The sequence below is a fragment of the Homo sapiens genome, chromosome X (genome assembly GCF_000001405.40).
Source record: "Homo sapiens chromosome X, GRCh38.p14 Primary Assembly".
Lineage (NCBI taxonomy): Eukaryota > Metazoa > Chordata > Mammalia > Primates > Hominidae > Homo > Homo sapiens.
This window is the reverse complement of record NC_000023.11, coordinates 24,454,017-24,472,794: the sequence shown is the minus strand read 5'-3', so window position 1 is coordinate 24,472,794 and position 18,778 is coordinate 24,454,017. Positions and strand designations below refer to the sequence as shown.

Sequence of the window (18,778 nt, the reverse complement as noted above, 5' to 3'; positions counted from 1 at the left end):
AATCACTTGAACCTGGGAGGCGGAGGTTGCGGTGAGCCCAGATCGCACCATTGCACTCCAGCCTGGGCAACATGAGCAAAAACTCCGTCTCACAAAAAAAAAAAAAAAAAAAAAAAAAAGAAAGAAAGAAATATGTAAGCCATATATATAATTTAAAATTTCCTAGTAGCCACATTAACATAAAAAAGAAATAAAGTTTTTGATAATATTCCATTTAACCCAACATATCTAAAATATTACCATTTCAACATGCAATCAATATAAGATGTACTGATATTTTACTATTTTTATATTAAGTCTTTGAAATCCAGTGTGTATTTTATACTGAAAGCACATCTCAATTCAGAGGCTAAATTTCTATCAGAAATAATTGACCTATAAAGAGATTTCCTAAAATTTACAGGTGATAAAGTGGATTCCATATCCAAGTTATTCTACACAGATGTAAAAATTAACTGCATCAAGTATCCATTTTAAATTTAAATTAAGTCAATTCAGTTTTTCGGCCACACTAGCCACATTTCAAGTGCTCAAAGGTCTCCTGGCTGACAAGTGGTGACCCATATGGGACAAAGGTCTATAGAAATAAAGTAATAACTATAAAGATAACCACTAGAACCAAAAATTCAAGCCTAGTTATTTATTAAAATAAATATGGCAAAACAAAGCAAATATATAACATAGGAAAACTGAGGTATTAAAAACAGAAAGCAACAGAAAATTACAAATGCTTATCATTACAGATGACAGATCTATCATACCAGTAAGTATAAATAGGTTAAACTTACCACATGAAAAAGACTGATTCACAAAGCAAAACCCAACTTTACACTACATTTAGAGACATATTTAGAGCGAAGTAATTCAGAAAAACTGAAAATAAAAGGATGGCAATGCTATCCCAGGAAATGTAAACAAGAAAATAGGGAACTAGATCTCAATGTCAAATAAGGACGAATCCAGGCCAAAAAGCCTTCAACTAGTAAAAGGGCAGCACTCTAATGCTAATGGGTATATCTCACAATGAGGATGTGAGTTAATAAGCATCAAACATAACACTGATAGTCATAAAGCAAAAACAATAGGAGCTATACGGAGAAAGAGAATCATTATTAGGAGACTTTAACTTCTCTTGTGTTTGATCCATGACAAATCAGGTGGATAAAAAAAGTAAAGTTACACAAAACCTAAATAACATAATATTGCAGAGCTGACATATCACACTCTGCAACCTGAGAAGAGAGTATAACCTTCTTTTCGCTGCCCAAGGAACATTCACAGAAAACAACCATATAATGAGCTTCAAAGTTAACATCAATAAATTAGAGAATAATTCAGACAACATTCTGTAATCACAGTGCAACAAAACTAGACATAAATAAAATTAAAATGCAGAATGCACCTTCACTGGAAATTTTTAACTCCTCCAAACAACTCTTCATTCATAGGAAAATAAAAACCTGAAGACACAGAAGAGCTAAGAGAAAAAAGACCAAATACACACATCAGCTGCTAAAGCAGTGCTCAGAGGAATAACTAACCTTAAACATTGAAATAAACAAGACAAAGAAGAAAGCATTTAATTTTTTTTATTATACTTTAAGTTCTGGGGTACATGTGCAGAACGTGCAGGTTTGTTACATAGGTATACACGTGCCATGGTGGTTTGCTGCACCCATCAACTTGTCATCTACATTAGGTATTTCTCCTAATGCTATCTCTCCCCTAGCCCCCCCACCTCCCGACAGGCCCTGGTGTGTGATGTTCCCCTTGCCGTGTCCATGTGTTCTCATTGTTCAACTCCCACTTATGAGTGAGAACAGAAAGCACCTAATTTTTAAAAGAACAAAATAAACCTGAGACCAGAAGGAATTATTAAAGTCAAATCAGACAATAAACTAGATAACAAAAGTCATAAAACTAATAAATCCAACCCAATAAATCATCAACTAACCTACTCAAGAAGAAGGGGGGGGACAAATGTCACAGGGAAAATTAAGACTGTTCAGTGACAACTATCTCAGCTATCCAAACTGACTTAAAAACCTCAATGAGTAGGATAATTTTCTTTTTTTCTTTTCTTCTTTTTTTTTTTTTTTTTTTTTTTGAGATGCCGTTTCACTCTTGTCACCCAGGCTGGAGTACAAGGGCATGATCTTGGCTCACTGCAACCTCCGCCTCCTGGGTTCAAGCAATTCTCCTACCTCAGCCTCCCCAGTAGCTGGGATTACAGGCACCCACCACTATGCCCAGCTAATGTTTGTATTTTTAGTAGAGACGAGGTTTCACCATGTTGGCCAGGCTGGTCTCAAACTCCCAACCCCATGTGATCCACCTGCCTTGGCCTCCCAAAGTGCTGGGATTACAGGCATGAGCCACCGCGCCTAGCCAAGTAGGATAATTTTCAAGAAAAATATATCAAAATGGACTCTAGAAGAGACAGAAAATCTACAGAGATCAATAACACAGAATAGAGAAAGCTATCAGAGAGCAAAACTCCCCAAAACATACAGGCTTAAACACTTTCATATGAAGTTCTACCAAATCTTTAAGAACCAGATAATTCAAAAGATAAATTAGTCTTAGCATAGGAAAAGAAAAAAATTTATCTTTTTGAAAACAAAAATTTATCTTTTTGAAACAAGCATGACTTTGATCAGAAAATCTAACAGACCACACATACAACATCTACAGACAAATAGCAAATGGATATCAATAAAACAAACCCAGGAGTTCATCATTCTATTCTCTCTACTTCTGTAAATGTTTAAGGTCTAGAGATCTAATGCACAACATGAAGAATATATAATAGATAATAAAATTGTACTGTATATGGGATTCATGCTAAATGAGTAGATTTTAGCTGACCTTGCCACAAAAATAAAAAAGGGTAACTATGTGAGATGATAGATATGTTAATTTCACTGTAGTAACCTTTTAACTATATGTATCCCATAACATCATGTTGTATACCTTAATTATACACAATAAAATTTATATATGTATTTACCTATACATGTACATCCCCCAGGCTGGAGTGCAGTGGCAGAAACACAGCTCACTGCAGCTTCAATCTGGGCTCAAGCCATCCTCCTGTCTCAGCCTCCTGAGTAGCTAAGACCCCAGGTGTGCGATACCACCACTCCTGGCTAATCTTATTTATTTATTATTATTATTTTTTTTAGAGACAGGATCTCACTATGTTGCCCAGGGCTGGCCTCAAACTCCTGGTCTCAAGCCATCCTCTGTCTTGGCCTCTCAAAGCACTGGAATTACAGGCACCCACCTAAGTTTTTTTTTTTAATTTCCACAATAAAAAACTAAAATAAAGACATCTTTACTCAAGGAGAAAAAAATTCTATCTAGATATATCATTTTTTTTTTACCTATCAAAAGTTTGACAACAATGTGGTGAAGGCATAGGAAAACAGGTACTCTCAGAAACTTCTAGCGAGGGGGAAAACAAACAACCTTTATGGAAAGCAATTTGACAATGTTCGCCAAAATTACAAATGCACATACCTGCTGATGTAGCAATCTCACGTTTAGGAATCTGTCCTACAGATACACGCGGACATGCATGAAATGACAATGCATATAATAATTCACTGGAGGGCAGGTTGCCACAGCAAAGTCTAGAAACAACCTATTAATTGTAGCCATCAATAGGGAAAGTTGCTAATAAATTCTGGTACATTCATATAACCAAATTCTCAGAAGCCATAAAAAAGAAAAACAAAGTTCTGCAGGTACAGATATACAAAAATCTGTCTCTAAGGTATTAAGCTCAAAAAACAAGGAACAGACAAAGCTATAAACTGCCATTTATGCGAAAAAAGGGGAGGCCAGTGGGCACAAGTGGGAAGCAGGCTTTTCTGTGTCCTTTTGAACCCTCTGAATTTGGAACCATGTGACTGTAATCTTAGGCCCAAAAGAAAAATCTCATTTTAAAAAATGCCACCCTTTGGAATGTACTATTGCCATAATAAATTAAAAATCCATTTAGAACACTTGTTATTCTTGCTATATTTGCTAACTGTGTGGCAGGCTATATTTCAAGTCAAGATGGAGTTCAAGAAACTTTCATTATTTTAAAAAGCATAGAGAAAAATACTGCACATAGATGAAAGGGGGCCAGCAGATCAGACAGAAGATCATCTGATTAATGGTGCTTAACCCTGGATATGCTTTAGAATGACAGGGGGATCTCCTAAAAATACCAGTGCTCTGCTCTCCACCCCCAGCACCCCCAGACCATTTACAACAAAAATTCAGAGTATGAGGCCCTGGCCTGAAAACCACTCAAGTAAACACTTCCAAACAGTGATTCAACAGAAGTCCAGGGGACATTTTGCTCCCCCAGGGGACATTTGGCAATGACTGGAGACATGTTTGGTTGTCACGACTTGGAGTGGGAGGTGCTCATGGCATCTAGTGGGTAGAGGCCAGGGATGTAGCTCAACTTCCCACAGTGCACAAGACAGCTCCTACCAAAATTACCTGGCCTGAAATGGCAAGAGTGCTGAGGCTCAGGAACCCCTGCTTTAAAATAAAAGCACAGCTTCTGAAGTAACAACAAGTTTTAGCCTCCACTTTTGAACATAGCAAATAATCTCCTTATTTACTGATGTGCAGTACATCCACATAAGAAAGCCTATTTATCAAGGTTGTAACAAATTGTGTATATCCTGTGTATCTCCTTTCTCTGGTCCCTGTCTAGTTACTCTAGTCAAAATGTACGTCCCATTTGTAAAGTACCCATGGAGAAAGGCATCAAGTTCATAAACTAGCAGCCTGTGGGCCAACTTGATCCATCCATCTATTTTGTTTATGCCAAAGTTCTCTTGAAATATACTGAATTGGTGCCAATCAGCTGCCCCTTTGGAGCTAGCTATATACCAGGAATTTATCACGGTCCTCAACTCGTTGGCTTCATTCACTTATCCACTGCCCACTACCTGGTGCTTTAAGTGCCTGAGTTGGCCCTCTCCTGCAGTTTTCTCTAATCATACAGGGGCATGAAGCCTCTTCACTCCTCCTCTCTCCTCACCTTAAAAATATCCCACACCCATTCTGAATTCTCCAACTCCCACATCAATTGCCAAAATAGAACTGCTATCAAGAGACAGAACTAAGAGAAAAGTAGAAGTAGAGATGGCCTTTTTGCAACAACTCCCGTCTTTTAGTTGTCCTGTCATTAAAGATAGGCTGATTAGCACCTGATTCATCTCTGGGTGTTACAAACTAGCCTTGTCACTTCTAGCAAATTCCACTACAACTATATCTAGCACTTCTGTGCGCTTCCTTATAAGGAAAACCTTAAATTATTATGCTTCTCTCATGACCTTAGTGAATCCCTCCACCCCTCCCAAAATAGGTCAGAAGACTTTTATAGGAAATATCTATCAAAAGATTTGGTAGTTTTCTTTTAGAAAGTTCATGCCTCTTCCTTTGAAATCACAATCGTATAGTGGTGAGCTGTGCTTTTAAAGATCGCCTGATACAATCTACTCATTTTATTAATGAGGAAAATGAACCCCAAGTGAGGTTTGGTCACTTAGTCAAGGCCACATTCTGAGCTAGTGGCAGAGCCAGAATTAGAACATTTGTTTCCAGATACTGGCCTCACAGGTTTTCCATGATAACACTATCCTCCACTGTGGTTTTCCTACTCACATAACATCCTTACCAAAATACCTATTAACACGGGTAGACACTAGCTGCTATGGAAATCAACTAACCAAAATTTTGGCTGGCTATTGGAGCTATCACTTAAACTTTGAGGGTGGAAAGAACTGGGAGTTTCTGGATTCCTTTTGTTCCTTTTATTGTGAATTATCCTGTTTCAGTTTACACTAATGAAAGGCTGATACCTTCAGAATCTTCCCTAAACCATAAAGATGGAAAACTTGCCTATATTTATAGCAATAGCAACATTTTCTAAACTCTAAAGTCAGAAACTGCCTCAAACCTCTACAATTCTCGAGATAGTAAGTAAAACTACCAATAGCTTTTGGGAGTGAAGTTTGAAGATGCAGAAATCAACGTGTCATTGAACTTTGACTTTCATCATCATTCTCTGGCAAATTGGCTTCTAAAATTTTAATTTGGTCTCAACTTTAACCTATTCCTCTCTTCCTATCCTAGCTTTTAAAAAAAAAAAAGTATGGACATCACTTTTTGCATATCAGGTCTTCCTCAAATGTTCTACCTACTCTGCACTTTAGTTTTTATGCCCAACTGACACTATCACTGACACCCTTGACATTTACATAAAATTCATTAAATGAACAGACACCCTACGATTTCCCCTGGAGAGCTTAGAACATCTTTGCTGCTGGATTTGATTTTCCTCCAGGGATGCTGAGTTCCATTCTGATACCTCAATGCATGCGTTTTACTTTTAGGTGTTTCACAACCAGCTCCTTCGTTTTCTGGGGAAACATGATTCAGTTAACAGAAGGTGGTGGAATCTATTCCCATCTCAGCTAGGCCTGAGGCAGGCTGGGAACCCGAATCTTCTTTGGTCCCACCTCAATCCGTGAAAGCCGCCCACCAGCCCACCGGACAGGGAGAATGTGGGTGGGACACCAATGGAGAAGAGAAACGAAAGGTGCTGGCACTAAAGCCAGAGTTGTATTAGACCCTGCTCTGATGCTAGGATCCCAGACGTCCGCTCTTCCCAAGCATCTAAGGCGTCTGCAGGCCAGGCCTCTAACTGATTTAACATAACCTGATGAAGACAACAGTTCGAGTCCTGCCACTCCAGCCACACAGCAACACCTTAGAGCAGAAAAGGAACAAAATGCCATTGCATAATTTATTCAACCTCAAGGTATTTCTAAACAGTTCTTACCCAACCAAAAAAAAAAAATTCTAAAAATAAAAACATTAAAAAGCCACCCACATCTCGTTCTGAAGTTTTAAGGGCTGTGAGGTTTGTGTCAAGCAGATTTGAAGCTAACGACCGCAGGTTTGGGGAGTCTCGCCTGCGATGAGGGTCCTGCAATGAGACGCCGTTTCTGTGTCTCCGGGTAAGTCCCAGGCTGGGTGCGAGGGGGCCAGGCCCTGCCCCTCCGCGCCCCGAAATCCGAGCCCCAGGAGAGCCCCCCGGATATTCCCTAGCCCCGCCTGCGGTTCCCACAGACTTTACCCCGAAGCTGCGGAGATCCGGGGTGGCAGCCCGAATGGCGGCGGCCCCGGGCCCATGGGGACCCTTGGCCCCGTACTCACCGAAGTCCAGGAATTGTTTGATGGAGAGCGGCGACGGCGAAAAGCGCGAGTAGCGCTCGATCTGCTTGGGCACCGGCTGCTTCAGCAGCCACCGGAACAGCCGCATCCTCGCCCGGGCGGCGCACAGACCCGCCTAGACGCCCGGGTGGCCGCAAGGGCTGGCGCAGCCAAGCCGCACGGATAGGGCACGTTTGCGAAGCGCGCACCCCGGCCTCGATCTCGGCCTCGGCGCCGCCGGTGCAGCCGCCGCAGCAGCAGCAGCAGCTCCAGGACAGCGGCGGGCCGCCCGCGGCTTCCCTAGGCTCCGCCTCGCTGGGCGGAGTCGGTTGCTGCACGTACGCGGCGCGCGAGGGGAGGCGAGGAGCGCGAGGGGCACGCGGCCGCGCGCGCCCTCCACTGATTGGCCGCCGCTGCCTCTGTGACGTTTGTGTTTTGTCCGGGCGCGGCGCCAGAGACCCCCCTCCCTGGCTCATGGGACTCAGCCCAGCCCAGCAAGTGCAGCCGCTTTCAGCTCCGCCTCTGGCTGGGTTCTCCGCTGCCGAAAGGTAGCCGAGGTGCCCGCGGACCGGGAAGAGGCCAGGAGCCCGGAATCCGATCCTCCGCGCTGCTCAAGACCCTTCTCAACCGCAGGCGCCTTTTCCGGGAGGAGGACTTGCCGTTCGCTGCATCCTGACACTTAGATTTTACAGCCTAACTAGACTGACTCTGTTTCGTGGCCCAGCCCCACCCCCACCTCCCTGCCTGACTCCCAAGAGAACACCTTTGGAACACCTTTGGACTGGATTGTTAGTTCGCTGATTCTCTTTTTCGTGGTTCCTTTCCCCTCCTTCCCGCACAAGATTAAGTGACTGATTGCATTTCATGTCCCCCCACCACCACCGTTGGACGGGATCCATTGTGAGGTCAAGGGTCAATAACACCCCCTACCTCCCCAATGCCAGTGGACAGGATAATTGCAAGGTCACTGACTCTGTTTCATACCCCCCCACCCCACTACTACCATTGGAAAGGATCAAATGTAAGGTCACTGGCACTTTCTTTCATACCCCTTCTCTACACCACCACCATAGGACAGCCCCCTTCACGCTTCACCACCACTTTTGGACAGGAGTCTATGCTTACACAGTGTTGGGTATTCTTTATCTCAAGTGAACTTGAGAGCCTGGCATGGTGACATGCACCTATAGTCCCAACGACCCTGCAGGCGGAGGTGGGAGGATCACGTGAGCCCAAAAGTTCAAGATCTGCCTAGGCAACATACCCAGACCCCCCTCTCAAAAAAAAAAAAAAGTGAACTTGAACTCAGGGCTCAGTATATGAAATTGTTATTTCCTATTATGAGTGAATAAAGTACAGCTTACTTTAGCCATTTCCACCAAACCTTGGCTTTTTTTTTTTTTTTGGCAATATGTAAACATAAACATATGTAACTAAAAGGACAGGAAGAATGTTCTTTAAGGAAAGGTACAAATGTGACTGGAAGCCACTCCTTGGGTCTCTGATTGGACTAGTTTTCTCACTGAATGAGATTATTGGTGGGTAGCTATTTAGCTTTTGTGCCTTCAGTGGACGTTTATGCAGCCAATTCTTTGCTTAATAAAATAGTTGCATCTCTACTCTGAATGTAAAGAAAAGTAACATACACAGTAAAAGACCTCGGCCAGGTGCGGTGGCTCACGCCTGTAATCCCAGCACTTTGGGAGGCCGAGGCGGGCGGATCACGAGGTCAGGAAACCGAGACCATCCTGGCTAACGTGGTGAAACCCCAGCTCTACTAAAAGTACGAAAAATTAGCCGGGCGTGGTGGCGGGCCCCTGTAGCCCCAGCTACTCAGGAGGCTGGGGCAGGAGAATGGCATGAACCTGGGAGGCGGAGCTTGCAGTGAGCCGAGATCGTGCCACTGCACTCCAGCCTGGGCGACAGAGCAAGACTCCATCTCAAAAAAAAAGACATCCAGTGGTCTTCTAGACTTTTGGATTTTCAAGAACATCTTGGTCATCTTCATCTTGGTAGAAGTATGTAGACTACCATGTCTTTTCCATTCAAATTAAATCAAAGCATTAAAAAAGACATACTAACAACTTATTTAACCAGGAGCTTTACCAGAAGAGCTAAGTAATCCAGTTGGTGTGCATGGGCAGACAAAGAGAAGACCAGTGGCCTGTGGTTCCTAAAGTGACTTTCAGGTGCTACCTGGAAGTGGAGCGATAATTGGTGGCAGTTGTCAGTGAGCAGGAAGAAGCTGGATGTTTGTGGAGAGGGAGATTTTCTCAGCCTAAGCAACAAAGCGCTGATCTTTCTGAGCTTGCAAATCGCTTGTTTCACTTCTTCCTTTTCCACTGCACAAAATGCTACTTAAAATCCATTCTGTTGATTTGATTATTTAAACTTTCATGTGCCTAATTTTATTTCTGCTTTTCCAAAAGGTGACAAAGTCCTAGAAGTTGGGAACAATATGAAAGAGCCCTATATAATGTAAAATGTGCTTAGACAAGGCTAAGGTCACCTAGCCTGTCTGCGTCACGCTTATTTTTATGTCAGATTAAGATACCTGATTTATCTCCCTGGCATTTGTGACAGTCAAATGAAATAAACCACATGTAATATAAATACAAGGTACTGTACCTCCTGTGTACAGCAATGCATATATTTTTACCTAATACTTTCATGATAACTTGCAGAGGCCAGAAGTGACACCAGTGTGTTGATAAATAGATCTTGATGAACTTTTTTCAACTCCTTGTACACACCAAGGTCTAGTGCAGACCCCACTCCCAGTGGCTTTCAAAAGTGAAATCCCTGGACCTGCGGCAGCAGCATCACCTGAGAACTTGTTAGAAATGCAAACTCCTGGGGCGTCTAATCCTAGCACTTTGGGAGGCAGAGTCGGGCAGGTTGCTTGAGCTCAGGAGTTGGAGACCAGCCTGGGCAACATGGCAAAACTCCGTCTCTACTAAAAATACAAAAATATTAGCAGGGCAAGGTGGTGCGCTCCTATAGTCCCAGTTACTTGGGGGGCTGAGATGGGCGGATAGCTTGAGCTCAGGAAGTGGAGGCTGCAGTGAGCCAAGATTGCACCACAGCACACCAGCCTGGGTGACAAAGTGAGACCCAGTCTCAAAAAAAAAAAAAAAAAAAAAAAAGAGGCCGGGCGCGGTGGCTCACGCGTGTAATCCCAGCACTTTGGGAGTCTGAGGTGGGTGGATCACGAGGTCAGGAGATCGAGACCAGCCTGGCTAACATGGTGAAACCGCATCTCTACTAAAAATACAAAAATTAGCTGGGCGTAGTGGCGCACACCTGTAATTCCAGCTACTCGGGAGGCTGAGGCAGGAGAATCACTTGAACCTGGGAGGCGGGGGTTGCAGTGAGCTGAGATTGCGCCATTGCACTCCAGCCTGGGCCACAGAGCAAGACTCTGTCTCAAAAAAAAAAAAGATTAGGCCAGGTGCGGTAGCTCTTGCCTGTAATCCCAGCACTTTGGGAGGCTGAGGCGGGTGGATCACCTGAGGTCGGGAGTTGGAGACCAGCCTGACCAAAATGGAGAAACCCCATCTCTACTAAAAATACAAAATTAGCAGGGCATAGTGACACATGCCTGTAATCCCAGCTACTCGGGAGGCTGAGGCAGGAGAATTGCTTGAACCTGGGAGGTGGAGGTTACAGTGAGCCGAGATTGCACCATTGCACTCCAGGCTGGGCAACAAGAGCGAAACTCCGTCTTAAAAAAAGAAAAAGAAAAAGAAAAGAAATGCAAACTCTTGGGCCCCACTGCAGCCCTACTGAAGCAGATCTGCGTTTTAGCAAGCAATAAAGGTCTTAAAGATATGGCCACAAATTCTTTGATATTCCTCAAGAGATGGAGCTTAATTCCTTTCCACTTGAATGTGGGTTAGACTTAGCTCATGCTTCTAACAAAGAAGAGTGTGGCCAGAAGTGATGAGATCTCACTTCAGAGACTGGGGTCCTACAAAATGCCTGACCAGTACTCCTCAAAACTATCAAGGGCATTCAAAACAAGGAAAGCCTGAGAAACTGTCACTTAGCCAAGAAGAGCCTAAGGAGATATTACAACTAAATATAATGTACTATCCTGGTTGGGATTCTGGAACAGAAAAAAAGGATATTAGTAATGACAAATGTTTGAGGTGATGGATATGCTAATCATCCTGATTTGACCACTCTACATTGTATGTATCAAAATGTCACTATATACCCCATAAATAAGTACAATTATTATGTGTCAATTAAAAAATTTTTAAAGGATATTAGGATAGGGAGAGATTTGTTAAAGGATACAAAATTATAGCTATACAAGAGGAATAAGTTCTAGTGTTCTATAGCACTGTAGGGTGACTATAGTTAAAAACAATGTATTATATAGTTTCAAATAGTTAGAAGGAGAATATTGAAGTTCCCAACACAAGGAAATGGTAAATGTTTGAGATGATGAATATGCTAATTACCCTGATCTGATCACTGTATAACCTCATGAATATGTACAATTATTATTTCTCATTTAAAAATATAACTAGAAATTTAAAAAATAGGCCGGGCGCGGTGGCTCATGCCTGTAATCCCAACACTTTGGGACGCTGAGGCAGGCGGATCACCTGAGGTCAGGAGTTCAAGACCAGCCTGGCCAACATGGTGAAACCCCGTCTGTACTAAAAATAAAAAAATTAGCCAGGCGTGATGGTGGGTGCCTGTAATCCCAGGTACTTGGGAGGCTGAGGCAGAAGAATCGCTTGAACCCTGGAGGCGGAGGTTGCAATGAGCCAAGTTCGCGCTATTGCACTCCAGCCTGGGCGACAGAGTGAGACTCTGTCTCAAAAAAAAAAAAAAGGAATTTAAAAAATAAAGTCAATATAGGCAATCATTCTAGCTAAAAGGAATAAAATATTCTAAAACAAATGGACAAAGGGATATTAGGTAAAACTAAGAAATTCTGAATAAAGTATAGACTTTGGCCCAAATTTGTTTAATAATAATGTATCAATATTGGTTCCTGAATTATAGCAAATGTACTATACTAATGCTCCCTGCCTCCCTACCTCTCTCCCTCCCCCCACCTCTCTCTCTCTCAGTCTCTGTCTCTCTCTCTCTCTCCTATGATACTCCCCTTGTGGAGCCTTGAGATGACAAAGCTCTAGCCAACACCTTGATTGACACCTCATTGTAACCTTGAGAGACACCTCATTGTAACCTTGAGAGAGACCCTGAGTCAGAACCACTCAACTAAGCAGCTCCCGGACTCCTCACCCCGAGAAATCCTCAGTTTGTTGTAATAAGTGTTTGTGGTTTCCAGCTGCTAAGTTTCTGGATAATTCGTTACACAGCAATAGTTAACTAATATGCAAGCCCTCCAGGTAATTCTTTTTTTTTTTTTTTTTGAGACAGACTCACTCTGTCACCCAGGCTGGAGTGCAGTGGCATGATCTCAGCTCATTGCAACCTCTGCCTCCCAGGTTCAAGCAATTCTCGTGCCTCAGCCTCCTGAGTAGCTGGGATTACAGGTGTGCACCACCACGCCTAGCTAATTTTTTGTATTTTTAGTAGACACAGGGTTTCGCCATGTTGCCCAGGCTGGTCTCGAACTCCTGAGCTCGGGCAATCTGCCCACCTCCACCTCCCAAAATGCTAGGATTACAGGCATGAGGCACCGCGCCCGGCCACCTGAGGGTAATTCTGATGCACCTCAGTGTGAAAATCAGTGTCCTCCCCTAACCTACTCTAACCTAACTCTCTATTCCTTCCAGCTAATGCCTCAGATCTCAGTGTAATCATCACTTAAACATAAAGGGAGGCCTTCCCTGACCATAAAGTCAATTCCTTCTCCTTGCCATATGTTTTCTCGATTCGCTCTACTTCCCACTGTAACTCTCCAAACGCTTTGTTATAGTTTGATCAATGCCTGTCTTCTACACTAGACTTAAGCCTTGGCAGGGCTGGGACCAAGTCTGGTGTACTCACTGCTGCATCCCCAGTGCCCAGCATAACTAACAGTCACTGTTCAGGTTCACAACAAACATGTATTAAATACATAAAAATCAACAAAAATAACAACCAAACCTATCCCAAATCGCACTCCTTCTAAAAGCTGCTATAGAACACTAGAACTAGGCAAAGGTAGTTTTCTGAGTAATTTAAATAATAATGGACACTTTATTAAATCATAATATGATGCAGCCAAAATCCAAAGTAGAGTGGAATAGATGAGAAAAAAAGATCTATCTCCCTAACTAGTGGATCTTGTTACAAAATACCTCTGTCACCATTTGACAGGGGTATAATATCCTGCTCTCCTTGTATTTTCTTCCTCCTTCTCTCTTCTCAGTTAATGTTTTTTTGAGCACCTATTGTGTGCTATGTGAAAGCACTTATGTTGTCTCTTCACAGTGAGTATGATGGATGAATATTATCCTCATTTTACAGGTGAGTGAGCTAAGACACAGAAAGGTTAAAATAATTTAAGTTTATACAACTTGTAAATGGCAGTCTGGGTTTGAATCCAGGTCTCCTGGCTCTCAATTCGATGTTCTTTCATAATACCAGCCTGCCTTTTTAAAACAAAATAGACTTTATTTTTAAAGAATTTTTAGGTTCGCAGCAAAATTCAATGGAAAACACAGGGAATTCCCACATATCCCCCTGAGACACACATCCTCTTCCACCATCAACATCCCCTACCAGACTGGTACATTTATTACAATCAAGGGACCCATATTAACACATCATTATCATCCAAAGTCCATAGTTTACATTAGGATTCACTCTTACTGTTGTACATTTTGTGGGTTTGGACAAATGTATAATGACAAGTATCCACCACTATAGTATCAAACAGAATAGTTTCGCTGTCCTAAAACTCCTCTCTGTTCTGCCTATTCAACCCTCCCTTTCTTCTGACCCCTGGAAACCACTGATCTTTTCACTGTCTCTAATTTTGCCTTTTCCAGAATGTCATATAGTTGGAATCCTGCAGGATGTGGCTTTTTCAGACTGGCTTCTTTCACGTCACCATATGCATTTAAAGTTTCTCAGTGTCTTTTCATGGCTTGATAGTTCATTTCTTTTTAGGGCTAAATAATATTTCACCATGTTGGTTTTATCACAGTTTATTATTAATTCACCTACTGAAGGATGTCTTGGTTGATTCCAAGATTTGCCAGGCACCTTTCGATTTTAAGAGTGGGAAGTGAGATGGTGAAAATAAGTGAACTGGTGGATCAAGGGTTACTTAATAAAGCTTTACTAAATGTACATCTTTAATCAAATATGTGTATGACTTGAAGGAGTAGCTCTTTTCTCCCGTGTCTAGATTCTAGATTTTTGAATTTTTTAATTCTTATGGATGTATAATAGCTGTATGTACTTATGGGGTAGGCTTTTTTCAGCAAACTCTTTTAGATGGCACAAATCCTCTTGAAGCCCTGTTTATCCTGGTCCTTTTGTTTCTAATTAAGGGGTTTCAGCCTTTATATTCCTCCAAAAGAGGTCAGAAAAGAATTTTTTGTTTGTTTGTTTGTTTGTTTGTTTGAGATGGAGTCTCGCTCTGTCGCCCAGGCTGGAGTGCAGTGGTGCGATCTCGGTTCACTGCAACCTCCACCTCCCAGGTTCAAGCGATTCTCCTGCCTCAGCCTCCCAAATAGCTGGGATTACAGGCGCATGCCACTGTGCCTGGCTAATTTTTTTCTTTTTTTCTTTTTCTTTTTTTTTTTGTATTTTTAGTAGAGATGGGGTTTCACCATGTTGGCCAGGCTGGTCTTGAACTCCTGATCTCAGGTGATCCATCCGCCTCGGCCTCCTAAAGTGCTGGGATTACAGGCATGAGCCACCACGCCTGGCCAGAAAAGATTTTAAGTACAGGGATGATGTGACAGGATAATTTATTGAGAAATTAAATCTATGTTTTGATTTTGCTGCTCTTGGAGGTGCAGAAGAAAGGAGTCGCTTATCTTCCCCAGCCTAAAAGACAGTGGAGTCTTTGGCTCCGGGTTTTGGGCTGCTATGCCTTGACGATATCATTAGCTGCTTATGTGCAATGGGGTGCTTTGGTTTCTACGACTGAAAACAGAAGTTGGAAAATATAGGAGATATTTTGGTTACCTCTATAAAATCCATTCCTTCTTCTATTGGTAACTACTCCCACTTTTGTTCACTCCCCCAGGCAGTTCATTTGTGCCTTGGGAAGAAAATAGCCCACCTCAGCTGTAGTCATGATATATATGGGTCAATCTACAAACTAATGAGCTTAATTCTGATTGCTGGCCATGGCTCCTGGTTCAAGGATAGATACTTGACCCAATTTAGGCCAATGATATAGGAGGAGACATTTCCTGGGAGCTTCTGTGAAAGAAACTTGCTGCTATTCTCAGGAAGCTTCTAGAAGCATCTCTCTCAACCTCTCACTTTTCTTCTTCTCTCTTCCTACCTCATTCCCATCTCTGGGTGCAATCAAGGAAGCATGTAGTACCTGGAGTGCAGTAGACAACCATTTTGTGGCCAGAGTGAAGCTGACTTTGCAGAAAGCAGAGCAGAAATGGGAAGAAACTGGGTCCTCAATAACGTTGTCAGGGCACTAAATCAATCCAACCTGAAACCTTCTCTGAACTTCCAGTTACATGGGCCAGTACATTTTTATGGTTTAGGCCACCTTAAGCAGATTGATATTACTAGAGTCAAAACTGTCACAGGGCTGGGAGCAGTGGCTCACGCCTGTAATCCCAACACTTTGGGAGGCCAAGGCAAGTGGATTGCTTGAGCCCAGGAGTTCGAGACCAGCCTGGGCAACATGGCAAAACCCCATCTCTACTAAAAATACAAAAATTAGCTGGGCATGGTGGCACCCACCTACTACTGAGGAGGCCGAGTGGGGAGGATCATCTGAGCTGGAGAGGTTGAGGCTGCAGTGAGCTGTGATCTCGCCACTGTACTCCAGCCTAAGCGACAGAGCAAGACCCCATCTCAAAATAAAAACTAAAAAAGTATCCTAACTTTCATGCCAAGCATACTTCAGGTATCCTGTATATACACATGGGGACAAGCCCCCCAGTAATGGCTGCTGTTGGGCATCTTGCCAGCTCTGCACGTGGGAACGCAAACCCAGATTTAATTTGATTTTTTAAAATAAAGAAAGATAATGTTTCTTGTGCCCAGGGGTTATGAACAAAATCAGATCCTATAATACCCAGAAGGGAAACAATAACAGAGGATGGTTAAATAAATCATGGCACACATACAATGAACCATTATACTGTCTTTAAAGGTTCTTTGTATGAAGTCTATATGAGAACACGGAAAATACAAACATTATAATAAGAGGGAAAAAGGAAGATACTAAATTATGTATTAAATCTGAGCTTCAGGCAGGGCTCAGTGGCTCATGCCTGTAATCCCAGCACTTTGGAAGGCGGAGGCGAGCGGATCACTTGAGCCCAGGAGTTCGTGACCAGCCTAGGCAACGTGACAAAACCCCATCCCTACAAAAAACAAAAACAAAAAAATCAGCCAGGCCTGGCGACTTACACCTACAGTCCCAGCTACTTGGGAAGCTGAGGTAGGAGGATGGATTGAGCTCAGGAGATCGAGGCTACAGTGAGACAAGATCACGCCACTGCACCCCAGTCTGGGTGACAGAGTGAGACCCTGTCTCTAAATAAATAAATAAATACATAAATAAACTGAGCTTAGCTAGGAAGAGATCACCTAAACCTTTTTTATCGAAAGGTACAGAAGGAAATACAGCAAAATGCCAACAAAACAACCACCACTAATGAATGCCTTGAGTGATATCATGGTTTGATTTGACATTGAGAAAATCCTTAGAATCCCTGGGTGGCAATGTGTTCTAAAAATCTGAACCAAGGATAGGTAACATGAATGACTTTATTCAGTTCTCCTTCAACCCAAAAGATGAAGGTTAGTTATACAGAGACTTGTCAGAATCCACTGCTCTTCTGTTTTTATCCAAAACATGATCTTATCTGTTTCTATGAATATTTACTTAGTCCCATAATTAACAGAGCATGAACCATTATTTGCAGAGGACTCTGACATCTGAGGTGCCACCTATTATCTAGAAAACTTGGCATTTCTTCCATCAGCATTTAGTAAAGCCTTCTTTCATCCAAGCTGTTTGCCAAAGTACAGCCCTTACCCCCACCCCCAACCATCACAACCACCACCAGCCTCCAAATTGCTGTGATTTCCATCAGGGAGGGTTGTGTAGCTACCAGGAGGACCTCTTCCCTAGGCCACCAGGGTCTTATTGTCAGCCCCAGCTGTTTTCACCTTGGCCCCTCCACTTGATCTCATTTTTCTGGAGGTATTAAAGTTTTGAGAAAAAGAAAAACAGGCCAGGCGCGGTGGCTCATGCCTGTAATCCCAGCACTTTGGGAGGTCGAGGCGAGAGGATCACTTGAAGCTAGGCCAGCCTGGCCAACATGGTGAAACCTCATTTCTACTAAAAATACAAAAACTAGCCAGGCGGTGTTGCGTGCCTGTAATCCCAGGTACTCGGGAGGCTGAGCCAGGAGAATCGCTTGAACCCAGGAGGTGGAGGTTGCAGTGAGCCGAGATCATGCCACAGCACTCCAGCCTGGGCAACAGAGCAAGACTTCGTCTCAAAAAAAAAAAAGAAAGAAAGAAAGAGAAAAACAGCCATTCTTCACAAGGAATTTAGGGATTCCTATTCAAGAATAATTTGTACCTTGTATCATCTGATGCATAAAATGACTATAGTATTAGTGATATTAAAGGAACAGAACTGGGGCCAAATGCTTCCCACAATTTGAAGTGTGCCATAGAATAGAATAGGCCAGATTTCAAATCTGTAGAGATTCATCCTCATGAGAAGAGCTAGAATTGCTCTGCCCAACAGAGTACCACTAGCTACATGGCGTTGAAATGTGGCTGGTCCAAATTGAGACATGTCATATGTATAAAATTCACACCAGATTTCAGACTTGGTATGAAAAAGGATGTAAACTATCTCATCAATAATTTTTTAGAGATGAGGGTCTTGCTATGTTACCCAGGCCTGCCTCAAATTCCTGGACTCAAGCTATTCTCCAGCATCAGCCTCCCAAGTAGCTGGGATTACAGGCATGAGCCATTGTGTCTGGCTACATTACTAATTTTTATAATGATTACATGTTGAAATGATAACTGATATGGTTTGGCTGTGTCCCCATCCAAATCTTATCTTAAATTGTAGCTCCCAGCCGGGCGCAGTGGCTCACGCCTATAATCCCAGTACTTTGGGAGGCCAAGGCGGGTGAATTACGAGGTCAGGAATTCGAGACAAGCCTGACCAACATGAAACCCTGTCTCTATTAAAAATACAAAAAAAAATTAGCCAGGTGTAGTGGTGCGTGCCTGTAATCCCAGCTACTCAGGAGGCTGAGGCAGGAGAATCGCTTGAACCTAAGAGGCAGAGATTGCAGTGAGCCGAGATCACGGCATCGCACTCCAGCCTGGGTGACAGAGTGAGACTCCGTCTCAAAAAAAAAAAAAAAAAAAATGTAGCTCCCTTAATTCCCAC

At 42.8% G+C, this 18,778-nt stretch overlaps 1 protein-coding gene across 2 annotated transcripts in view, besides 1 other annotated feature; it reads right to left on the bottom strand.

Moving 5' to 3' along the window:
* The window catches only part of PDK3 (pyruvate dehydrogenase kinase 3), an 85,181-nt gene extending 77,672 nt beyond the window's left edge, over window positions 1-7,509 (bottom strand). For both annotated transcript variants that reach the window (NM_001142386.3, NM_005391.5), the window contains exon 1: window positions 7,234-7,509. In NM_001142386.3, coding sequence (NP_001135858.1) covers window positions 7,234-7,339 — 106 coding nt within the window. In that variant the 5' untranslated portion in view covers window positions 7,340-7,509. The remainder of the gene's footprint in view (window positions 1-7,233) is intronic.
* Window positions 7,449-7,768: a silencer, noted in NCBI's record as "silent region_20719". NCBI's record gives its function as "represses an Ori minimal core promoter by ATAC-STARR-seq in GM12878 lymphoblastoid cells {active_cell/tissue: GM12878}" and the evidence as "EXISTENCE:reporter gene assay evidence [ECO:0000049][PMID:35858748]".